The 26,147-nt window shown below is 37.3% G+C and overlaps 1 protein-coding gene across 2 annotated transcripts in view, besides 4 other annotated features; it reads left to right on the forward strand.

Moving 5' to 3' along the window:
• Positions 1 to 90: an enhancer, noted in NCBI's record as "active region_21595". NCBI's record gives its function as "activates an Ori minimal core promoter by ATAC-STARR-seq in GM12878 lymphoblastoid cells {active_cell/tissue: GM12878}" and the evidence as "EXISTENCE:reporter gene assay evidence [ECO:0000049][PMID:35858748]".
• Positions 596 to 715: an enhancer, noted in NCBI's record as "active region_21596". NCBI's record gives its function as "activates an Ori minimal core promoter by ATAC-STARR-seq in GM12878 lymphoblastoid cells {active_cell/tissue: GM12878}" and the evidence as "EXISTENCE:reporter gene assay evidence [ECO:0000049][PMID:35858748]".
• STAP1 (signal transducing adaptor family member 1) overlaps positions 8,339 to 26,147 on the forward strand; it is a 48,611-nt gene continuing 30,802 nt past the window's right edge. For both annotated transcript variants that reach the window (NM_012108.4, NM_001317769.2), the window contains exons 1-3: positions 8,339 to 8,541; positions 20,696 to 20,767; positions 24,997 to 25,110. In NM_012108.4, the coding sequence (NP_036240.1) occupies positions 8,422 to 8,541; positions 20,696 to 20,767; positions 24,997 to 25,110 (306 nt within the window). In that variant the 5' untranslated portion in view covers positions 8,339 to 8,421. The remainder of the gene's footprint in view (positions 8,542 to 20,695; positions 20,768 to 24,996; positions 25,111 to 26,147) is intronic.
• Positions 24,923 to 25,217: a silencer, noted in NCBI's record as "tiled region #12077; HepG2 Repressive non-DNase unmatched - State 24:Quies". NCBI's record gives its function as "represses a minimal TATA promoter and a strong SV40 promoter by Sharpr-MPRA in HepG2 cells {active_cell/tissue: HepG2}" and the evidence as "EXISTENCE:reporter gene assay evidence [ECO:0000049][PMID:27701403]".
• Positions 25,221 to 25,300: an enhancer, noted in NCBI's record as "active region_21597". NCBI's record gives its function as "activates an Ori minimal core promoter by ATAC-STARR-seq in GM12878 lymphoblastoid cells {active_cell/tissue: GM12878}" and the evidence as "EXISTENCE:reporter gene assay evidence [ECO:0000049][PMID:35858748]".

Consider the following 26,147-nt stretch of genomic DNA (forward strand, 5'->3'; position numbering starts at 1 on the left):
AGAGGCTGCAGTGAGCCGAGATCACGCCACTGTACTGCAGCCTGGGAGACAGAGCGAGACTCAGCCTCAAAAAAAAAAAAAAAAAAAAATTATCAAAATATTAACATGTCTCTTGCTGTCAGTTATAAATTTATGGGGAAATGAAAAAATAGTAAAACTAATACTTATATAGCACATTGTAACTCAAAGCATTAGAAACATTGAGCATTAAAGTGCTTTAGTTCTCAGTTTTGTTTTCTATTTTTTTATTTTTGGCTCCTGACAGGAAACATGCTTTAGTTCTTTGTAAAAAAAAAAAAAAAGAAAGCTATCAAGAATAGTTTGAACAGTGCCTGCCTCCTCAGCTGTAAGTTATGATACAGTGTGAGCATCTTTTGGTGAATTGTTATACTACTTGCTAAGCCTGGGTCATTTTAAATTAAGTATATGTGGCATAGGATATATAACATATTTGTAAATTCAAGTGTCTATGGAAACTCATAAACAATAAAATACCAAAATGGTAACTTGCAGACAGTACCTAAAAGTAAGAGTTGTTTTGTTTTGTTTTGTTTTGTTTTGTTTTGTTTTGTTTTTTTCCGGAGGCTCCATCATTCACCTAAAAGTAAGAGACAACAGGAAGATAAACTAGAAGCAAAGACACAGGGCAGAAGTGATGTGCTGTTGACCTAGAGAAAATCTGACTAATATTGAAAAGTGCGGCCAGGCACGGTGGCTCATGTCTATAATCCCAGCATTTTGAGAGGCCAAGGCAGCAGGATCACTTGAGGCCAGGAGTTCACAACCAGCCTGGGCAACATAGTGAGACCCAGTCTCAACAAAAAATCAAAAATTTAAAAATTTAGCCAGGTGTGATTGCATGTGACTAGTTTCAGCTTCTCAGGAGGCTGAGGTGGGAGGATTGCTTGCCCCATGGCCCTCTGCCTAGGCAATAGAGCAAGACTCCTTCTCTTAAACTAAAAATAAAAATTTTAAAAGTGTTCATGTTGACAGAATGGAACTAGATTATGGGGCAACTTCAATGTCAGGATAACTTTTCACTTATCCTATGGACAATGGGGAACTGTGGTATAATCAGGGTTCAATTACATAAAAGAAAATTTGTAGCCAGGCGCGGTGGCTCACGCCTGTAATCCCAGCACTTTGGGAGGCTGAGGCGGGCGGATCACCTGAGGTCCGGAGTTTGAGACCCGCCTGACCAACGTGGCGAAACGCCATCTCTACTAAAAATACAAAAACAATTAGCCGGGTGTGGTGGCACATGCCTGTAATCCCAGCTACTCGGGAGGCTGAGGCAGGAGAATTGCTTGAACCCAGGAGACGGAGGCTGCAGTAAGCCGAGATCACACCACTGCACTCCAGACGAGGCGACAGAGCGAGATTCCGTCTCAAAAAAAAAAAAAAGAACAATTTGTGATGGCTAGTTTTGGCAAAAAGGGATCTGCTACCTGCATTTAACAGCTCATAAAATTTTTGAGAGGATGAAGAAACAGTGTATTTTGGATTTTCAGGAATAATTCCCAAATGCACATTGAAGAACTAAGCCATTAAGAGGCAGCTGATGTTTCTACAGTTATAAAACAAATAGAAAAATTGGGAAGCTGACATTAATGCTTATGTCTCCAAGATCATACTGACATCATGCAATCAGGAAGCCACCACAATTACAAAGCTGCCACGTTATGGAAATCACTATAAGAATTAAAGAAAGAGGAAAGAAACACAAAAAGTGGCTTGACAGCCAAAGACAGGTTTATTTTAGAGAAAACCCAAGGGGGCTTCTGGCCAAGTTAGGTCAGAGGCACACTCTCTTACAGACTAAGAGTTTTTAAGGATTCAGGGTGGGAGAGTTTATCAGAGGCTTGTACTGCTTCTGTGTCTCTTTGCTGTGCTTATCTGGGAGGAAGACTTGTGTGTCTGTTCCCATACATCTTTCTGCGCTGCAGGCATACTCCCCCGAGTCTGCTTTTAGCTTCCCTATCTTAGTGCACCTGAAGGGAAAGGAACGTGCTTATTAAGGCCCACTGTTTTACTGGGGCCCATTGTATGAGGGTGAAGTTTGGCAGTTACCCAAGAGACTTTCCCCCCACCTCCCTCTGTGCCCAAGCTGTCTTATCTGTTTTACTCTCTGCTCTTTCTGGCTGCTTGTAGTTAGAAGAGAAGTGATTTCCTTGAAATGCATGAGGCTAAAAAGGGAGCTGGAACTTAAAGTGGCAGTATTTGAGATGATGGTGCTCCTGCTCTGTCAGTCACTACCAATAAGAATTCTCCAATGAGTCTGGGTATGGTGGCTCATGTTTAATTCCAGCACTGTGGGAGGCTAGGATAGGCAAATTTCTTGAGGCCGGGAGTTGGAGACCAGCCTGGCCAATATGGTGAAACCCCATCTCTACTAAAAATACAAAAATTAGCAAGGCCATCATTGTTACAGAAGTGATATTAGTAGCTCTGTCAGAACAGTTTAATTTGCTAACCCTTATAACTGTCAGTACAAAGAGTTGCATCTGGGATGATAAGAGCTTTTCCTATTACGTATTTTCAAACTATTTTTGTAGTGGAAAATGTCACTTTTGTTACTGAGGAGTAGTTTTTGGATGCCAGGTAGATACGGGAAACTGGTTTTCATACTAGGTAACTCACAGAATAATGGTAGCTTATTCTATACTTATACAGTAGTGGTGGCACACTACTGTAATCCCAGCTACTCAGGTGGCTGAGGCATGAGACTCGCTTGAACTCGGGAGGCGGAGGTTACAGTGAGCCAAGATGGTGCCACTGCACTCCAGCCTGGAGGACACAGCTAGACTCTGTCTCAAAAAAAAAAAAAAAAAAAAAAAAAAAAAAAGAATCCTCTCAGAGCAGAAAGCCTCCTTACTGCTTCCGGCTCCAGAGCCACACCTTACCTAAAATGATATGATGATATGCACAAGCAAACTGATGTCTGTGACTTGACTATCAACACCCATGAAGCTAGTGATCAGACATTGGGACTTCTGATAACTTTGCCACAGAAAAATTAGATGCCTACAGGCCATACATGCCTTTTTATTGGTTAGAAAAGCCAAAGGTTGCCTGGTGCAGTGGCTCACATCTGTTAATTCCAGCTACTCAGAAGGCTGAGGCAGGACGATTGCTTAAGCCCAGGAGTTTGAGACCAGCCTGGGCAACATAGCCAGACCTCCTCTCAATGAAGTTTAAAAAACAAACAAACAAACAAACAAAAACAAAGGCAGCATAAGAATGAACCCCGCCTCCCTTCTGCCTTGCCAATCATGTTGAATGCTTTTCAATCTTAGCTGCAAAGAAGTCTGAAAAATGTAGATTTTATCTTTTTAGCCTCTGCAATAAACAAAAGCACACTAGAAGGGTTTGGAATGACGGTAAGCACCAATCCACCTTATTCCCTAAGGAAGGCATGAAGGATGAGAAATAAAAGAGAAAACATAGACTTAACCTTTGTATACATTGAGTTTGAAATGGTTAAAACTGAATTCATTATCCCTCTACCACCCAAACTATCTCCCCACTCTGAATTTCTAGTTTCTATTAAAGCTACCATTATTCTGTGAGTTACCTAGTGTGAAAACCAGTGTCCTGTATCTACCTGGCATCCAAAAACTATTTCTCAGTAACAAAAGTGATATTTTCCACTGTAAAAATAGTTTGAAAATACATAACTAGGAAAAGTTTTTATCATCCCAGATGCAACTCTTTGTACTGAAAATTATAAGGGTTAGCAAATTAAACTGTTCTGACAGAGCTACTAATATCACTTCTGTAACAATGATTGCCCACCTTTTTTTTCTGTTTCAAAAGACTTAAGGGAAACATTTTCTGAGTAAAAATGGCTCACTGTATCAGTAATTCTCAGGCAAAGGAGTAGGAAGCTCCCTCCATATTGTATGTCTGATAATCTCTGGAGTTGTGGTATTACAATGTGCATTTTCTCCACTGAAAATGCTGCATGTCTGGGTGTGGTGGCTAATGCCTGTAAATCCCAGCGCTTTGGGAGGCCAAGGCGGACGGATCATTTAAGGTAAGGAGTTCAAGACCAGCCTGACCAACATGGTGAAATCTCATATCTACTAAAAATACAAAAAATTAGCCAGGTGTGGTGGTGAGCACCTGTAGTCCCAGCTACTCAGGAGGCTGAGGCGGGAGAATGGCATGAGCCTGGGAGGCAGAGGTGGAAATGAGCTGAGATCATGCCACTGCACTCCAGTCTGGGCGACATAGCAAGACTCAGTCTCAGAAAAAGAAAAGAAAAGAAAAGAAAAAGAAAATGTGGCTTAACTCTATCAATAGTAATAAAAAATTTACTCATAATAAAGATTGTATTGGATTCATACCAGCCATTGATAAGCTATAAGTATTTCACACAATGGTTAAAATTAAAGTTGTATTCTTCAGGTATGAGTTGCAAAAATAAATGTATTCAATTAAAATATCTTAGAAATATACTACCGCAAATTATAATGCATATGGCAATAAATCATCAGTAAGTATTAAGCAAAACAAAGGTCAGAAATGTGGAAGTACTGGAGCAGGGTTGGTTGATTTGATTGATTCAGTACTAATAAATGGATAGAAAAGTATTTTAGAGATCCTCAATTATTGTAAAAAATGTGGATTTTTACTCAGATGACCTTATAACATAGAGGAGTCAATACAGCACTGAGATTTTGGTTTATATGAGTTAAATCTTATACTTCACCCAAAGTTGTTAAGTTATATTTGCCATAAAACCTGATTTGTAACAATCTTCTGTGACACAGATGCTACTGATGGCTGTAATGTTGGGCTCCAATAGTTTAATAGTAACATGATTGTTCTACAAGGCAACACAAGAATCATATGTCAACCAATGGTCACATATATCAGAAAAAAGGAAACTCCTGTCACAATGGAAGCTAATAATTCTCCAAACTAGAATCATATTTTTTAGCTAGAAGCTATTCAGTAAATATATGATATTGCAATCTACTTATAACCAACCCCTACTTCAACACAATCTTTCCTTTGGAAAAACTGTTTCTTGTTGATACTCAATGTATACAAATAACTACAACAGGACAAATACTATAAGAAAGAAATCGTGCAAAGTGCTTTGGGAAAGCAGAAATGAGAGTAATAACTTTTTTTTTTGTGGGGGTGAAGAAAGCTTCAGGAAATTAGGAGATGTTCAGAATTAAGGATAGATTCAGCCTGGGTCTTGAAGGACGAGTAGGACATTACCATATAAACAAAGAGAAGGAGGGGCATCTAAGCAGAGTACAGTGACTGAAAAGGTATGAGGAGACAGGGAAGATCATAGGGTATTCAGGCAACTGAGACTAAATGAAATTACCAGAGCAAAGGGTATTTTGAGGAGTTATTATTTAAAAGGGGCCCTGCTATAAAGGACCAACGTGCCATGCTTGAGCCCATTGTTGGTATTCAATAAGTATTTAGTGTTCAATAAAAAATATTTAAAAAGGAATCTCAAAAGCAATGAGAATCCTTTAAAGTCTTTTCAGTAGGGGAATATCTTGATTAGGTTGAATATTAAATGAATCAAAGAAGAAAAAGAGTGGAAACTAGGAGACTACTTAAAAGCCTTTTGCAGCTCTTCAAACAATAAGTCATGTAGTCCATCGCCTCCTTGTATAGGTGAGGAAGCTATGATACCAGAGAAGTCAAGTGGTTTGTTCAAGGTCTCAAGAGCTGGTTAGTAGCAAAATTAGTTTATGCCCTATGTCCAAACATATTTTCTACTATATTTCCTTACCTACAAATTTATTCTTCACTGCCTAAGACTTGAGGTATCTGTAAGAGGATTTCCATTGTAATGGTGCAGTGGTGCAATGACACTAGTCATTGCAGACAGGACTAACTTGTTAATATTGTTTAAGCAAGATTTTTGCATTTTGTAGTCTTTTTCAGGGAGATATAATTTGATTCTTGGTATATTAAGAATGAATTTGACGAACAAATCAGCAGACCAAAGTAACTTACTGTGTCTGATTAGCTGTTTTTAAATTGTTGCTTATATTTTAAAGGCAAAAAAAAAACTAAGTGCTTATTTAACAACAACAAAAAATCCCCTTTACATTTTTTTAGAGGTATTATTTTCTCTCACCTATGAAACTTTCTGACCATAAAGTCAGTGCGTAATCACTGATGATTCCCAGCATTCTTTCTTTATCCTTGCTTCTTTTCATTTTTCAATTCTTAATCCCTCCTTTCACTTCCCCCCTGTATTACAACAACTAACAGCTGCCAAGAAAGTGGATTAGGTCATATATTCAATCAGGAGGTTTTCCTGTTATTCAAGTCACTTTCTTAGTATACCGAAACTAAAAAATAGTTATGGTTTTTGCCTCAAAAAATTCAGTTGGACTTATATTTTATTATTTGAAGGTTGGGTAGCAAGAAGCAGGTCTAAACTTACAAAAGCAAAGCAGTCATTTTGGATCTTCAACTCCCTATTTCTGTCTTGAGCTGTTTTCATTTTGATAATACATCTGAACACTCTTCTCTAACTTACTGATAATCAGTCCGTATTGTTCTACCTCACTTTGTAGACAATTTGTCATCCCATATCTACAGCTGCAGGATCAGTGGGACCCATACTGGTGGAGAAAACCATGCAGTCTCTCCATTAGGAAAGGAGAATCAGACTGAAGACTCCTGACTTGCTTTGATTTCTAATAATAGGCTGGTCTCACTGGGCCCAGGCTGTTCTAAATCTAGAGTAGTTCTGAAATACTGAGTGTGAAATAGGCAATGGTAGAAATTCTTAGGACCCCTGTAAGACAAATCAAAATTCCTTCTAGTATTCTTTTCTCCCATCATTTCCTGCACTGTGCTACGCCAAATCCAATCTCTTAAGGACCATTTCCTACATGCAACCATTGAGTGCACTTTGGCCCCAGTATAGCTTTATAAATCTCACTAGATAACTGTGGGAAGTCCATCCATGAATCATAGTATCAATGGTCTGCAGCTCAGAAAGCACAAAAGAACAAAATAAAAGTTTGAAAACTTACAGCTTTCTCTGCCAGATATTTTTTTGCCAAATATCTTAGACTCCTTTGTGTTGCTGTAACAGAATGCCACAGACTGGTAATTTATAATGAACAGAAATGTATTTCGCTCATGGTTCTGGAGTCTGGAAGTCAAAGAACATGGCCAGCATCTGATGAGGACCTTCATGCAGCATCATTCCATGGCAGAAGATAGAAGAGCAAGAGAGGATGATAGCATGTGAGAAAGTGCCAAACTTGATTTTATAAAAAACCCACTTCCAGGCCAGGTGCAATGGCTCACACATGTAATCCCAGCACTTTGGGAGGCCACAGCAGGAGAATCGCTTGAGCCCAAGAGTTTGAGACCAACCTGGGCAACATAGGGAGATACTGTCTATACAAAAAATGAAAAAGTTAGCTAGGAGTGGTGGCGCGTGCCTTGTAGTCCCAGCTACTTAGGAGGCTGATGTGTGAGGATTGTTTGAGCCTGAGAGGTCAAGGCTGCAGTGAGCTGTGATTGCACCAGTGTATTCCAGCCTGGGCAACAGAGCAAGACCCTGCCTCTGAAAAAAGAGAAAGAAACCCACTCCCACAGCATTAATTAATTCATTCATTCATGAGGGCAGAGGCCTCATGACTTAATCACCTTCTAAAAGTCCCATTTCTAAACACTGTTGCATTGGGGATTAAGTTTCTAACACATAAGTTTTGGAGGACACATTCAAAACATAGCACTAAATATTCATTGGGAACTCATGTACTTGGAATATCTACTGGCAAAAAAAAAAAAAAAAGAAAGAAAGAAAAAAGAAAAAAATTCCATATTCCGTGTTCCCATAATTGTGGTTTATATTTAGTGAAGCATCAAATGAGCATGAGATACAACTATTTTTTTTATTTACACAAAACTTGACCCTAAAATATTTAACCAACAGAAGTAGTACTAATAAAATTATTCTATGAAGTAATTTTTAATGAAGCTGAGTTTATTCAAGTCATGTCTTCTGCAAATAAAAATGGACACCAATAAACAAAAACAAAGATAGAAAGAATAACTGTGTTCTTGATATCTCCCCTAAAGTTCACAATCTCTACACCTGTTTCTTTCATCTTCTGGTGATGTTAATCTTCTGTTTATTTTGCGCTTTAAATCTAAGCACATGTGGATTACCCAGAGATTGCCCTCTGAAAGTCAGTCTACACCTGTTCTTTCTTACCTCACAAAAAGTAATGGAAAAAAAAGTGTGTGTGTGTGTGTGTGCGTCTGTGTGTGTGTGTGTCCTGTTGGTGGTAGTGTTGGTGGTTAAAAAGCAATTTGGGACTTCCTCTTTGAACAGTTGCCTTTTCCTCTCACAGAAGGAAGATTTCATTTTGTTTGAGACGAGAAACCAAACCACACACCAAAGAGAGGGGTATGATGGCTAAGAAGCCCCCAAAACCAGCCCCTCGCAGGATCTTCCAGGAAAGGTTAAAGATTACTGCTCTACCTTTGTACTTTGAAGGTTTTTTATTAATCAAGCGGTCAGGATACCGGGTGAGTCTATAGATGATAATGTTAAACCTAAGACTTCTGTTTTAATTTAATATTTATTTCATGGTGATGTGATGTGTTAAGACCTCCTTGTTTCTGTTGAAATTAAATCATCTTCTCTTCTTTGAGCTCAGAAAAATGATTCCAATTTTTCATAATTTAAATACAATGTCTGGCTTAAACCTGTATGTATACACATATATAATATGTATAATAACAGAGGTTGTAATATTAAGGCACTAATATAAAAAAGTCAATAAGCTAAATTTCCAAAGAATTTATTTAAATATCACAAAAGATTTTGGCTTGGGAGATAAAATGTTTCTTGTATTTTCTCCACAATTTATTGCTATGCTTCAATGATGACATGTACCATTAAGATAAAATGATATCATGATTAAAATTAAACCTGCTCCTGTTCTGAGTCATTTGAAGTTTATAATGATCAAATTATTAAAAATGGCTTTTGTAAAAATTGTTAAAATGACAAAGTTCATACTGTTTAACATTATATATAGTTATGTGTTCTAAAATACTATTCAAGATAGTGACTTTTAATTTTTGGGGTACTACTGTGGGTATTAAGTACACTAAGCTACATAAATACCTTTGCTCTAAGAAAATCCATGAAGCATTCTGTATTTTTAAATGTAATAATTAAAACTTATAGTTAGTTAAAATCATTACTTTTAAAACAGTAATTATGGATGACTTGAAATTAATTAGAGAAATAAGCCCAAAATTGCCTGTTATTAAATAAAAAAATCATTAAGTTAGGTCAAATTTTATGAAATTGTATACTGACTAAAACTAGAAAAATTTTAAGGTTTTCAGAAATTCCATCAGAAATGTTTAATGATGCTAAAATATATTTTCTGAGGATTTATGAATACTTGTGGAAAAATTATATATATGAAAAATCTATAATAGCATATTCACATTTCTTACATATATAATCAGATCATTTACTATTTGAGAGTAAAGACATGGTAATTTGTATTCTGTTATGGATGTTAAACATGCATAAATAATTACCTTTCAGTTATATTAGAATTTTTTAGATTGATCCTATATGCTTTTAATGTAAATTCAATCTTGTCACCACAGGTAAGCCACATAGTCACACTTTGCCAGGAAAGGGAAGTTGAGAAAAAAAAATTCTAATTAGTAATTTAAATCAGGTTGTTCATTGAATGTTTTCCAAGGTATTTATAATAACTGTTTATGATAGCAGTTTTTTTTAAATGCTTAAAGAAGACATGTCATTGGTATGGTTAGCAGAAAGAATAAGAATTTTAGAGTGTCCTTTATCTGATGGTTTTGCCACTTATAGCTTGTGATCTTGTGCAAGTTACTCAATCTCCTTGAGACTGTTTCAACTATAAGATAGAGAGTATACTACTTGCTACTTGCCTCCTAAGGTACATTCTAGGATTCAGTAGGTGTTCAATCAATTTATTCACTCAACATTTATTGTGTGCCTCCTATGCACCAAGCATCACTCATTTCTGGAGAATATGGAAAAAAACACAAAGATTTTATTTTCAAGAGGCTTAATATAGTAGGAATGATGTCTTCCTTACCAAATTTCTACTCTTTACCTTCTCTTAGAAAGCATTCTTTGAAGCAGAATGAATACCTATAGGCATAAATATTTCCAATGAAATTAACTTGTGTTTCTATTTGAATTTATAGTAAAGTATCTTTGTGTGTGTGGGTGTGTGTCTGTGTGTGTGTGTGTGTGTGTGACAGTGTCTCCTCTGTTGCCCAAGCTGGAGTGCAATGGTGCAATCACTAGTCATGCAGCCTTGACATCCCCGGCTCCGGTGATTCTCCTGCCTCAGCCTCCTGAGTAGCTGGGACTACAAGCGCATACCACACCCGGCTAACGTTTGTATTGTTTATAGAGACAGGGTTTCATCACGTTGTTCAGGTTGGTCTCAAACTCCTGGGCTCAAGCAACCTGCCCACCTTGGCCTCCCAATGTGCTAGAATTACAGGCATGGGCCTCTGAGTTAGACCACTAAGTACCTTTTACTTGTATGTCAGGGAGAAGAGAGCAAGAGGATGACAATAATACCTACTTATGTGGTGGTTTCAGGGATTAAAGGGATAGCATATGTAAAACACCTGGCTCACACTAAAGGTTAGATTCATTCTCTTACCCTTTCATCACTTATCATACTCTTATTCAGGTACTAAAATTAGTTTGAGGTCTGCAAGTAATATGACTCCAAGGAGAGTGAGCATGGTGATAATTAGAGTACTTGAAAATAGAAGCTATGAGAAAAATCTAAGCAAAATAAGTGGAATTTCCAAGCAATTGGCAGCAAAGTGCCAGGGAATCTTTGAACAGAAGGTGAGCCAAAGGTATATAGCCAAGTAATCTTTGGAGCTGATTGGCTAGAGGAAGGTGAGAGGCTCTGCAGAATGTAAAGTTGGGTCTCTGCCAAAGTCATTCAGAACATTTAAACTAGAAAAAATATAACTGAAGAGTAACCTGGTCTATAAAGGCATGAAATGCTGAGAGGTGCTTCTTAGCTATTTTTTGTGGGGCACTTTTAAGTATTTAAAGAGCTTTTCCCCAGGAAAATGTAACAACGTATACCATTTTGCATGCAATTCTAGAAGGTTTCTAAATCTGAGGTCAAGAACCCATGAAAAACACATAATCTTTATGGAAAAGATAATGTGGGAAGATTTATTTAAGCCACAGCACTAGGATTCTGAATTAACCAGGAAGATGTGTTTATTATCAAAGCTGTTAAATGCCACAGTGGAATACCATTGGCATCGCAGTTCTTACAAATGGGAAAATTTCTCATTTTTTCTGGGACCGTTTGAAAATAAGAGAGAGTGTGGGTGGGCCGGGAGCGGTGGCTCATGCATGTAATCCCAGCACTCTGGGAGGCCCAGGTGGGCGGATCACGAGGTCAGGAAATGGAGACCAACCTGTTCAACATGGCGAAACCCCGTCTCTACTAAAAATACAAAAATTAGCAGGGCATGGTGGCACGCACCTGTGGTCCCAGCTACTCGGGAGGCTGAGGCAGGAGAATCACTTGAACCTGGGAGTCAGAGGTTGCAGTGATCCGAGATCGCGCCACTGCACTCCAGCCTGGCAATAGAGCGAGACTCTGTCAAAAAAAAAAAAAAAAAAAAAAAGAAAGAAAGAGAGAAAGAAAGAAAAGAAAAAGAAAGAAAATAAGAGATAGTTTGGGCAACGTCTCATAATTTCTTCAATCTGTGATGTGCTAAAGTAAAAAAAAAAAACAGTGTGTGTGGGCCGGGCCCGGTCCCAGCTATTCGGAAGGCTGAGGCAGGAGAATCGCTTGAATCTGGGAGGCGGAGGTTGCAGTGAGTCAAGATCGTGCCACTGCACTCCAGCCTGGGTGACAGAGCGAAACTCCGTCTCAAAAAAAAAGGAAATTTTTTAGGGCTGTCTAAGTTGTGCTCACACACAGTTCTCTATGGCAGTAATCTCCAAATTTTAAAATAACACACTCCTTTCAGGAAAACATTTTGAGCACAGATCCCTAATATAAGAATATTAATTCAGCCGGGCGTGGTGGCTCACGCCTGTAATCCCAGCACTTTGGGAGGCCGAGGCGGGCGGATCACGAGGTCAGAAGATTGAGACCATCCTGGCTAACAAGGTGAAACCCTGTCTCTACTAAAAAAAAAAAAAAAAAAAAATTAGCCGGGCGAGGTGGTGGGCGCCTGTAGTCCCAACTACTCAGGAGGCTGAAGCAGGAGAATGGCGTGAACCCAGGAGGCGGAGCTTGCAGGGAGCGGAGATTGCGCCATTGCACTCCAACCTGGGCAACAGAGGGAGACTCCATCTCAAAAACAACAAAAAAAGAATATTAATTCATTTGGAAATTATAAATATATATATTCCCGTACTATTAATCCATGTAAATTATTTGATATATAAAAAATGAATTAAGAAATATGAAATAAAATATAATTAAATATTCTAAAATTTTCTCTCCCAATGGATCATCTTGCACACCTTTGGAATTTATGCATCCCATTTTGGAGACCACTATACAACATTCTTCCTTAGGTAAATGTACTTTACTTGCGCACAAAAACAAAGAATGAGAGCTTTTTATTGGGGACAGAGGAAGAGAAACTTAACTGGAGCTTGCATTGTAATTCATTTTTGCTAGTTAATTCATTTTTGCTAGTTGTATTAATGAGAAAAGAGCACTGGGAAGTCAAGAGATAAAAGTATCAGTCCAATTCTAGAATTTGGGCGATTCCTTCACATTTTTAAATCTGTTCTCTCCTTTCTAAAAAGAATAATTACTCTCTTGCATAGCTGAATAGGTTGCTCCAATGACTAAGTGGACTATATAATAATGAATGCAACCTTTTGAGGTATAACATATAATGGATCCCATTCTAGGCTCTTAGTGTTCTGTCACTGTGATCCTTACAGTAACTCTTCTGGGTAGAAATTATTTTATTCACTTCACAAATGAGTGAGTAGGTGAGGCATGCTGGCTCATCCCTGTAATCCCAGCACTTATGGAGGCCAAGGCAGGAGGATTGCTTGAGGCCAGGAGTTGGAGATCAGCCTAGGCAATATAGCGAAACCCCATTTCTACAAAATCAAAAAATTAGCCAGGCGTGGTGGCACACCCTGTATTCTCAGGTACTCGGGAGGCTGAAGTGGGAGGATCACTTGAACCCAGGAGTTCGAGGCTGCAGTGAGCTATGATTGCATCACTGCACCCCAGCCTGAGCAACAGAGCGAGACCCTGTCTCTCTAAAACAACAACTCCAAATAAACAAATGAGTGAGTTCTGGCCACAGAGGTTATTCAAGGTTCCTCTTCCATTAAGGAGGCTAGCTTGGATTTGATTGTGATGCACTTGACCATGCTGCTTCTCAAACTCAAATTCTACCATTTGATTGTAGGTTTCCTAGTTAAGCTAGTGATAAATTCAGAAGTCTTATTTCAGCCTCTTTTCTTACATCAATGATTTCACACAAACGATTGTTAAAAAAAAAAAAAAAGAAATTTGTGCTTCATTCCAAAGATATGTCCTTCCAAATTAATTTTTTTAATTTTTAAGTATTTCTCTAGATATGAATAGGTACCTAGATGTTGTTTATTGAGATTGATATTTATAAATGACTCAGATTCTATGTGTATTTATTACATCTTATCGAAATGAAATCAAGATTGTGACCTGTAAGTCTCTGCATACTGAATATAAGTTTGGTCTGTCCTTAGGTTTGCAGCTGTGGTTGCAGTTCACATGGTCTAATGCTATTTGTAACCTTACTTTTCCTCCAGGGCTGCCTTTGCTTTCAACTTAGTGCCTTTATACTTGCTTTTCCCCCCATTTAATAAATCCTTAATCCTTTCCACAAGTATATACGTTTGCTTACCTGTAAAACTCCCATTTTTCCCTATTTAACTTTACCCAATTCATATCATTCTTTTGAGACTGAACACCTCTACAATTTTTCTCGATAGTGCAATGGAGGTCTGCATGTACATACAGAGGGAATTCAATAAACCTTTACTGGCTATCAGTAATACTAGTTTTTATACCTTATGGCAGGGTAATACTGTAGTTATGAGGCTGATTAGGACGATGAACAGAGTGGTAGGCTTTGACTTCAGGGTTTTCTCTTGTATTTTTTTCCTCCAGGAATCATACAATCCTGGAGTTGGACTAGATCTTAGAAGCCATACTTTAGTAAAATTGCACAAATGACACTTTGGGAGCCTGAGGCGGGTGGATCACTTGAGGTCAGGAGTTCGAGACCAGCCTGGCCAACATGGTGAAACCCTGCCTCTACTAAAAATACAAAAATTAGCCAGGCATGGTGGCATGTGCCTGTAATCCCAGCTACTTGGGAGGCTGAGGTGGGAGAATGGCTTCAACCTGGGAGGCAGAGGTTTCAGTGAGCAGAGATCAAAATCACACCACTGCATTCCACCCTGGGTGACAGGAGACTCCATCTCAAAACAAACAAACAAACAAACTACACAGATGATAAAGTTCTCAGAACAATATGCATTTCTCTACATTCCCATCTCCTCCTGCACTGTTCCTCACCTGCTTCCCAGCTCCAAAAAACAGGAGAGCCTTGATTTACTCCTTTCATTGCAGAGGCTTACCATTAATGCAGGGTGGGGAAGCCTTAAAAAGAGTTGGTCGGATAAGCAAAGAAACAAAACAACTTGCAAGATAAATTTTAATTATTTTGTTATGTAATTATAGGTCAGATTGAGAAAGTACAAGTATTTTTTAACAGAGTGAAAAAAACTAGTCACTCCCATATGGTTTTTTACAGAATGGCTATCTGATCGCAGTGCTAGTATATATTAGCAACTTCTCAAGCCAGATTTCTAAATGGATTTTTAAACCTCTTTATTTAAGAAAACATGAAAGGGTGATTTTACATAGGAATGACAATGGGTTTCATTATTCTGGTTTAGAAAATATTTCCTCCTTCTCATACATATTACCATTGAAGGAGATCTATTTTAGAAATTTTTAGATACTGCTATCACACCCACACATACAAATCACCACATGGAAGAAGTATTATGTGGCTAATAAAAAATGCAAAGTTCTTGCCAATAATGTGAGTGTTGAGGCAATGCTCTTCTTTTTCTTTTCTTTTCTTTTTTTAAAGTGCCTGACATTTATGAAATACTTGCTATGTCCCAGGTCTTAGGTGCTTTACACACATACATTATTAGTCCATTCAATTATTCAACAACTCTATGGAGCAATAGCAGGAGGTGGTGTTGTGTTTATGGGGTACTCCTAGTTTTGGGTACTCCTATTTTTGGTTCCTTAAAGTAAACTCTCATATGGGAGACACAATAATAATTATTATTATTCAGTGTCTTTTGATATATTCACAAACTTATACAACCATCACCAGTATCTAATTCCACAACATTTTCATAATTTCAAAAAGAAGCTCCATGGGCAGTCATACCCACTTCTCTTCCCCCCTCAACCCAACTGCTTTTTTTTTTTTTTTTTTTTTTTTTTTTTTACGAGACAGAGTCTTTCTCTGTCGCCCAGTCTAGAGTGCAGTGGCGCGATCTCTGCTCACTGCAACCTTCGCTTCCTGGGTTCAAGAGATTCTCCTGTCTCAGCCTCCCAAGTAGCTGGGATTACAGGCGCCCGCCACTACTCCGGCTAATTTTCATATTTTTAGTAGATACAGGGTTTCACCACGTTGGCCAGACTGGCCTCGAACTCCTGACCTCAGGTGATCTTCCCGCCTCGGCCTCCCAAAGTACTGCGACGACAGGCATGAGCCACCGCGCCTGGCCCTCTTCCCTCTTTTTTACATTTTTTATATACTCTTTTATTAGAATTTTTCTTCTCCCAAGTTTGAAACCAGCCAGACACAGAAATCACACAAATGAAGATCAGTTAGTTACTTTTATTATTGACAAATTATCAATGTGCAGTTTAGATTTAAGGCCAAAACTGTGCTTATATTTTACTCCAGATTTGGGTAGCCTTGAGCTACATCAAGTCACTGACTCAGATTAAGAGCCACAAGCTGAACCTCTTGGAGGCCCTTTGCCACATGGCAGGGAACAGAGCAGTACACTCACTCTCTCCTGGTAGACTGAGCTGAGAGAGGACAGGAAGGGGCTGAGCTGAGCTTGCTGCCTCCCAAACACACCTATTAGATACTCAGTCCTACTCTCTGCAAAGGAAATAATTCACCCTGGCAGTACTGAGCAGAATAGATTCGAAAGTAGGTTGGACACGGTAGCTCATGCCTGTAATCCCCGCACTTTGGGAGGTTGAAATGGGCAGATCACTTGATGTCAGGTGTTAGAGACCAGCCTGCCCAACATGGTGAAACTCCGTCTCTACTAAAAATATAAAAATTAGCTGGGAATGATGGAACATGCCTGTAGTCCTAGCTACTGGGGAGGCTGAGGCAGGAGAATTTCTTGAACCCAGAGGGGAGCAGGTTGCAGTGAGCCAAGATCACGTCACTGCACTCTAGCCTGGGCCACAGAGTGAGTGAGACTTCCATCAAAAAATAAAATAAAATAAAAATAGAGTAGATTAATAGATTAGAAAGTATAAGAAAGTGGTAGAAAGACAGGTAAAGGGATACTGTTATAGCAATAACACTTTACATCCTATATAAAAAGAAGGAAAGAAAAGACTTTGGATGGGGTTGAAATTAAGATGTGTTTTCTTGTCATTAAACTGCTTGACTGAGACGTATCAGGTATATATTGGGCATCTGGATTTCAGACAAGAAAGAGAATCTCTTTGCCTAGTTTTATAACTACTTCTTTGAGGACCATTTATTGGCTGATCCTTCAATAATATGCCCTTTTGAATTGTTCTTTTCTATGGTAATTTGTTCCTTGGTTCAAGAGGCATCAGCAGGTTCATTGCATGTTATAACCAGTTCTCAACTGGGGGGAGGATAGAGTGAAAACACAGCAGGGCTTGAACAAAGATACCTTGTCCCAAATTCCAATGTGCCCCTGAGGTTGATTGCTGCAGTCACACTACCAATTTGTTCAAGTCTTACTGTATGTACCTCTCTTTGAAATATGACTTTTCTGCTCATCCTATAAAGAGGCTGAATCTATTTCTCTAATCTTTATTTTATGTTTCAAAATTGAACTTACAGCAAACAATAATTTTCTAGCCTTTGAATCTGGATTGGGTTATGTGACATGTGTTGGTAAATGTGACACAAGCAAAGTCTTAGAATAAGCTTGCCCATTGGGTTTTGCTCTCTCTTGTTCCTGGTAATCCTTCTGCCAGCATGTGTCAAGTCTAGGCTAGCTGACTGGATAAAAGAATGGATAGAGTGAGACTCCAGTTGTCCCTCCCTTCCCAGTCATTCCTGCCTTCCCAGCTAAGACCCTAGACAAGTAAGTGAGGCCACCTTAGACCATTCAGCCATAGCCAAGCAAGCCCAGATCAGAAAGGCCGTCAGCCAACCATAGAATGGTGAGAAATAGAAATCATTTGCTTATTTTAGTCCACTAAGTTATAGGGTGACTTGTTACATGGGAGAAGCTAACTCATATATTATCTTATTAGGCATGAAGACAAAGAAAGAAAAGAGTTCTACCAAGAGCATAAGAAAAAAATGGTGATTGTAGTTCAAAATGAATTTAATCTTGAGCTTCCTGGTAGCCAGGGAATTAAAAGCAAAATTGAGTTATAGAGTCGTCATTATTTGAGAAAATAAGCATATAAATTCTGAAGAGTCGACAAACATTTTACTGGTTAAAAAACATAAAGGATATGTTAATATTGAAGAGACACAAAATACCATAAGACAAAGTATCTTCACATGCACAATAAAAGAGAAAACCCTTTATATAACTTTCTTATATTAATCGCCAATATCATGATGGTTCAATAAGTTGTAAAACATCAGCTTATCAAACCATAAAGGAAGGAATGATTAACATGTTTATTAAAATAACAGGAATTTTTTTAAAACACACTTTTGGGAAAAGCTGCATATGAAAGTAAATCTTTAGATGTGAAAGGATTTTATTTTTAAAACTTACTTGCCATTCTTTTGTAATATAGTCACTCTTCATATTTATTTAAATAAACTTAATTGAATGAAATGGGAGTTTAACTAGGTTATTTAAATATTTTAAACTTCAAAAGTCATATTTCTGTAGAATCTAGAGTAATATGAATGTATTAATAATTAAATATTCACCACATCAATAAGATTTGGATTTTAAAGTTCAGCTTTGATGGTGTTCAATTATCAATTTCTCACATTTTCTTGATCTGTCAATAATATATACTATTTACTGAACCCCAGCTATGAGCCATGTACTCTGCTAAGTGCTTTACATGTATTAATTCATTAAATTATTTCATCTGTCCTAGAAGGTAGATATTATATGCTTTTCCTATGCTGGGCCCTTCACTGGTCCATCTGACATGCGTAGGCTTCCACTGAAATTGCATAAAAAGTCTTAAATCAATGAGGAAAGTTTTAGAAAATGAACTACTTAAACACAAATCAAATTACAGTGATGAGTCACTTAACAATGGGGATATATTCTCAGAAATGCATTGTTAGGTGATTTCATCATTGTGTGAACATCACGGAGTATACTTATGCAACCATAGATGGTATAGCCTATTACACACCTAGGCTATATGATATAGCCTATTGCTTCTTGGCTACAAACCTGTATAGCATGTTATTGTATTAAATACTGTAGGCAATTGTAACACAATGATAAGTATTTGTTTATCTAAACATATCTAAACATAGCAAAAGCAGAGTAGAAATATGGTATAAAAGAAAAAATGGTATACCTGTATAGGGCACTTACCACAAATGGAGCTTGCAGGACTGGTAGTTTCTCTGGGTAAGTCAGTGAGTGGTAAGTAAATCTGAAGGCCTAGAATATCATCAGATACTACTGTAGACTTTATGAACACTGTACACTCAGGCTACACTAAGTTTATAAAAAATGTTTTTCTTTTTCATTAACAAATTCATCTTAGCTTACTGTAACTATTTTACATTATAAACTTGTTTAATTTTTGACTCTTTTGTAATAACATTACCTTAAAACAAAAACACATTGTACAGCTCTGCAAAAATATTTTATTTCTTTATATCCTTATTCTATAAGCTTTTTCTATTTTTAAAATTCTTTATTTTATTTTTTTTTACTTTTTAAGCTTTTTGTTTAAAACTAAGACACACATACATTAGCCTAGGCCTACGCAGGGTCAAGATTATCAATATCATTATCTTCCACCTTCATATCTTATTCCATTTTGTGTGTGTGTGTGTGAGATGGAATCTCGCTCTGTCGCCCAGGCTGGAGTGCAGTTGCATGATCTTGGCTCATTGCAACCTCTGCCTCCTGGGTTCAGGTGATTCTTCTGCTACAGCCCCCTGAGTAGTTGGGATTACAGGTGCACGTCACAATGCCTGGCTAATTTTTGTATTTTTAGGTAGAGATGGGGTTTTGCCATGTTGTTCAGGCTGGTCTGGAACTCCTGGCCTCAAGGGAGTCGCCCACCTCAGCCTCCCAAAGTGTTGGGATTACAGCGTGAGCCACCAGGCCCAGCCCCAGTGGATGGCCTTTAGGGGTAATAACATGCATGGAGCTGTCATCTCTATGATAGCAATGCCCTCTTTAGAAATACCTCCTGAAGAACATGCTTGAGGCTGCTTCACTGTTAGTTATGTTTTTTCAAAGTAGAAGTAGTATACTCTAAAACAATGATTAAAAAGTATAGTATAGTAAGTACATAAACCAGTAACATAGTCATTTATTAATCATTAACAAGTATTATTTACTGTACATAATTATATGTCCTATATTTTTGTTTGACTGGAAATGCAGTAGGTTTGTTTGCCAGCATCACCACAAACACCTGAGTCATGCATTGTGCTACAACATTATTGACAGTTGATACGAATTTTTCAGCGCCATTGTATCTTATGGGACCACTATCATATAGGCGGTTTGTCATCCACCAAAAGATCTTTTTGTGGCACATGATTGTATATCCTTATCTGAAATGTTATACTAAAATAAACTTGAGAATGATTTAATCAAGTGGTGGCATGGGCCTGTAGTCCTAGCTACTCTGGAGGCTGGAGTGGGAGGATTGCTTGAGCCCAGGAGTTCAAGGCTGCAGTGAGCCATGATTGTACCACTACGCTCCAGCCTGGGTAACAGAGCAAGACTCTGAAAAAAGAAAGAAAAGAAAAGAAAAAGAGAGAAGGAAAGAAAGAAAGAAAGAGAAAGGAAGGAAGGAAGGAAGGGAGAAAGGAGGGAGGAAGAAAGGAGGGAGGGAGGAAGGAAATAAAATGTTAAGCCAGGTATGGTGGCATATGCCTGTAGTCCCAGCTACTTGGAGGGGAAGCTGAGGCAGAAGAATTGCTTGAGCCTAGGAGTTGGAGAGTCCAGCCTGGGGGACATATTGAGACCAGAGAACCTATCTCAAAAAATGAAAAGAATTAAATGTAAAATTAAGCTATAAAAATTAGAATTATCCAGGATAAAGAAGACTTCTTATATCACACAAGCAATTAAGAAAGTTACAAAGGATAATATTATTAGAAAAATAGTTGAATATACACTAATGAAATAATGTTTATGGTTTCTTTCCCACAGGAGTATGAGCATTACTGGACAGAGTTGAGAGGAACTACTCTTTTCTTTTATACCGACAAAAAGAGTATAATAGTAAGTAAATATGTTGAGCTGATTCCATTGTTTCCCAATATACCCTTGTCACATAGCATATTATTCATTTTGGATTTTCTGCCATCCAAGAATAAAGATGCTCTGGTAAAATTAATTCAAAAAATAAAGTTTAAATCTGTGGGGGCCGCCAATGATCACAGGAACGATGGTAAATTTTCCTGGGCAATTCCGAAGAAGATATTGACTCATGTTTTTTACTTTTCATTATTTTCTTTCTGATTCTGATAACTAAACTTAGTTAAAAAGTGAAAATTTTTGACAAGACATCTGCACATATATTGCTTAATACCAAGTGATAGCTTCAATTTCTCCCACTTTTTATCTTGCTGTAGCATGCAGTTATAATTGGAAAGGAACAAAATGATCTCCAGAGCATGCAAAGCCATTATTTAATTTTTCTGAAAAGACAAAAACATATTCACAAAGCAGGACTTCTAAAGGCTTAAACATGAGAATAACAATAAAGGGATTCTGAGGTTTATTTATTCATATTAATTTCAAATTTTGATTGTATGTTTCAGTTCTTCCAGGAATAAGATATAGTATTTTAGTGGCAAATGCTTACCTACCTTGGAACACTATAAGAGACTTTATGAGCCAGTAACTTGATTAAATATAAACATTCTGGATCTGGATATAGTAGCCCATCTAATAATTAGAACATCATTATTAGAAGCCAACATCTAATGAAAGAGACAGAAAAATAACCTGTGTAATGTAGAATGTTTTCAAATGCCATAATAAATTTTACAAAATTAATTTCTCTTTTGTGCATTCCAATTTCCCACTGATGTCAGTAAATGTAAAAGAGCTTTTATTCTAACCTTTTCTATTGCACAGTAAGTGAGAGAGCTAACAATTTTTGCTCACTTACTACATGGCAAGAGGCAGTAAAGCTTAATAATCGAGAGCCTGGTCTCTTCAGACAGCCTGCCTGGGTGTTTGTCCTAGCCCTGCCACTGTTAACTGCAGAATCTTGGGCCAGTTACCCCACCTCTCTGTGTCTCAGTGTTATCAGACAGGAAACTGGTAGGAAACAGAAGACATCTCAAATTGGGCAATTTGAAGAGAATTTAATAAAGTTTTAATAAATATGCAAAGCAGTGAACAGGGTGTAGGAAAATTACAAAGATAGTACAGAATCCTGAGGTTAAAACAGTGTTCATTACCATGCCTAGGACTCAGAGGAAAGAGTGGGAAAGTAGTGTGAATTGTATGGAGATGACTGCCTTAAGGAGAGTATGATCTTTGACTGAGGGAGCAACTGCTTATGGTAATAAATACCCACCCTCACTCTTCTGATCTCCTGCCACTGTTCTCCAGTGGTCCAACCCAATAGGAACTCAAAGGGTACGGAGCCCCTTGATGTTGTCCATACAGGTCTCTCTCCTGCCGCAGAGTGTTGGGTGGTGAAGGAATAAAAGTGAATCTAAAAGAGCAAACAAAAGATCTCCAACACAGTCTTCAAATCTCTAAAATCAGAATAAAAATAGTAGTCCATTTTATAAGGTTCTCAAAATAACTAAATGAGATAGTACATGTAAGGACCTAAGAGAGTAGCTGGCACATAGTAAGCATTCAGGCATTTTACATGCATTGCCTAATTTAAGTCTCACAACTCTGCAGAATGGGTGCTATTTTAATTCCGGCTTTATAGATGAGATTAGTGAAGTTTAAAGATTAAGAATTGTACAAGGTTAGATAGGTAATACGAAAGGTACAATCCAGGTCTTGCTCCTAAGCCAGCCTTCTTCATCACCATGCCATGAGGAAATTGTTCTAGTGAAATGTCTCAGAATTGCCCATCTACCAATTTTTGTTAAGAGTATACAGACCTTTTGGGAACTTTTTAAAGTGATAGTCTCAGAAGAAAGCACTGGGATAGACAAGGTGAGAAGTGTAGATTTTTGTCTTACAAAAGGGAAGAATTTAAAGCTGGCTTTAAATATTTGAAAGGCTGTCAGGAAGTCGTGTGAAAGGGTCACTGAATTTGTTTCATGTTATTCCAGAAAGAAGAGATTAGGACAATGGATGAAAATTGGAGGAAAGTTGTGGCTTAATACAAGAAAAAACTTGCTAGTAGGCAGAGGTGCTCAGGAGGCATGAGTTCCATGTTAGAGATGTTTGAACACAGACTGGATGACTAATGAAAGGATACCCTGGCAGAGATGCCATCAGATGTCAGTGAGGTTAGACAGATGACCTTTAAGCCTCTTCACAAGATACAAATAAAAACAAAAAGATATGACTTCCTTTCCTCTAATCAATGGATCAGGCTACTGCACTCTAACTAACTGCCACCTCTTCCTCTGTTGCTTCCTCCTTTGTTGCAGCAAAACTCACTGAGCTTGATCTAGACAATCCCTCAGAAAAAAGATTTCTGTTTAATTTTAGATTCTTTCTTCCTTTGAACCTCCCTTCCATATTTTTTGAATGTATTTATTTTTAAAATTGACATATAAAATTGTTTATCATGATGTTTTAAAATATATATACATTGTGGAATGGTTAAATTGAAAATAACTAGGCCAACTCGAACTTTCTCTCAAACTCATCAATATAGAAATAGCTTTGGAAAAAAATTATATACCTATTTTTATGTCCTACTTTACTCAGAAAAATAAGACTTACAGATATACAGTAAAATAAGTCATATTGGCTACAATTGAAAGAAACATAAAAGGAGATAAAAAGAACTCAAGAATGAGGCTAATTTAGTAAAAATATATATATCATAAAAACCCTACTATACTTACTACAGGTAGTTCTTTCTACTACTAGAAGGCAAGCCCGTTGCATATAGAGAGTGGAAATTGACCAATTTCTCAGAAGAAATATTTTTATTATACTTGGATAGGATAGGAATTTCTTAATAGGATTGCCATAATCAGTGGTGTGCAGTAAATGCTGAATAGCTTTCTGGAAAAAAGTATGAATATATATATACATAAACTTGTTATAAATATTACTGATATGAACAATGTATAGTACACAATTAGAAAAATACACAATAGTCTTTATTGTAATGTCCATACAGACAATTGATTCTCACAGAATGCTTTCCTTGATTTTTGCCTAACTCTTGCATTGGTAACCAACTGTCAATGTAATTCGATCATAATTTGACAAATGGAGATTTAAATGGTATTTAAATCTGCTCTTTCCATAATAAATTTATTATCATTAAATATGATATTTGACATGAATATTTTCTAATATTTTCATTTACATTAATGAGTAAAAAGAAAGTAAAATGATGTATGTCAAAACATCATGTATGTATTAAAATCAATAAATGTGAGCAATTTCTTTGCTGAATTAGATAATAGTTTTTGAATTCTGGAAGAATATTTTGTCAATTTTTGTTCTATTTAGAGTGAAACAGATTCAGACACAACAAACCTATCTCATCTGCATATTAACATTTTTTCCTTTACTTTTTAAAGCCTACACCAAGGGCCAATAATCTGGATGATGGGCCAAATCTGGCCTATGGCCTGATTTTCTTCAGTTTTTGAGCTAAGAATGTCTCTATATGTTTAAAGTGTTTCTAAAGAAAAAAACAAAAACGAAGAATGTACAACAGGCTGTATGTGTGCCTGAAGTATGGTACTGTTTGGCCTTTTGCAGAAAAAAAGTGCTGCCCCTGGACATCAACAAAATAATAAATCAAGCTTGATTTGTAAGGTTTACCAATTTGCATGGTGTAAAATACTCTCACTGTGGCTGATTTCAACCTAACAGTATGACCTCACGGAGCATGTAGTTGGGAAGAAAAGCACAGTAGCACAGTATTATATGGTATTTTCACCATCCAGAAATGAAGATGTAAATAACCTTAAGAACATAGAGAACAGTAAAATATAGAAATAGAATGTAACAAATTTTGTTTTAATTACCTTTGCTTTGAATATAATTTATTTACTGGTATGTTTATATAATTCGATTTTTAAAATAATGGCTGTGTTTAACAACTTGCTTGCAAAATTCCTGAAAATTTAACAATTGGCTTTTGCAAACCTGTGTGAGCCAGGTTCAGCACACCACCACATAATACATTTCCACATGTCCTCTGGGATTAGGAAAACCAGGATATCATACAAAGTACTAATTAGTTGAAAGGAAGATATTACTTATTTTGCTTCCTGCTAGAACTAATGTGTATTACCCATGAAATAATGTAATGTGATCTTCCTTTATCTTTGCAGTATGTTGACAAATTAGACATAGTAGACCTCACATGCCTTACTGAGCAGAATTCAACTGAAAAGAACTGTGCGAAATTCACCCTTGTTTTGCCGAAAGAGGAAGTACAACTGAAGGTGAGCGAGGAGAAACAGTAGTCTGTAAAGGGTTGTGGTTATAAATAACATTCTTCACATCCAGTGGCTGAAGTAAAGAGAAATTGTAAGACAGGCTAAGTCTTACACTTTGTTAATATTTTTGCTTGCGTCTGGCCAAGACCTAGTTTTCTGAATTGGAATTTAAAAAGACGTGTTCACTTGTTTAGCATACAAGCGCCACGAAACCAGATACTCCTGCCCTCTGACAAAGTCAAGGATCCCACCTGGTGTTTGCTAAGGTTGTTCTTGAATCAGCATTCAAAATGAGCCAATAAAAGTCACCCAGTAACCACGGTAATAACATAAAGAGAACAACTTGTATTAAATAAGATATACTCGGAGACTTTTCCTGGGAGATTACTGATTGACCTTGAAAAGCACTGGTCTGAACTTCCGTGTAATAGGAATCGCCTGTACTAAGGAGATCGGACCCCCATCCCCCAACTCAAAACCTATATTTTAAGCAAGCTCCCCGGATGATTTGCAGATATGATAGTGAAGAGCACAAGACTGGTGTCAGATACTTGGGTCTGAATTTGGGCTGTTTTATTAGTTATTCATTCATTGTGATTATAGGCAAGTTACTTACCCTTTTTGTGTCTTTGTTTCTTCACCCGGAAGTAAGTCTCCTCTCAGATGAAACCCCCTCACCAAGGCCTACCTGGAGCACTTTATTACAGTGGCAACGTTTTTCTCCTCTCCTATGCCCCTAGTTGGACTCCTAATCTCTCTTACCCTGCTGTACCTTTAATTTTTCTCATTTCTTTCTTTTCGACACTATAAAATTTACTATTATGTTTATTATTTATCATTCCTTGCTAGACTCTAAACTCCATGAGAACAAGGTTTTTTTTTCGTTCCCTAATATAAACCAGTGTGTAGAATAGTGCTTAGCACTTAAAGGTACTTAGTAAATATCTGTTAAATGAACAAATCTATAAAACAATCAAACAAGCAAAAATAATAAGACCTTTTGCCAAGTTGCCTTGAAGGTTAAATCAAGTAATACCTGTGAA

This window comes from Homo sapiens, chromosome 4 (assembly GCF_000001405.40).
Source record: "Homo sapiens chromosome 4, GRCh38.p14 Primary Assembly".
Lineage (NCBI taxonomy): Eukaryota > Metazoa > Chordata > Mammalia > Primates > Hominidae > Homo > Homo sapiens.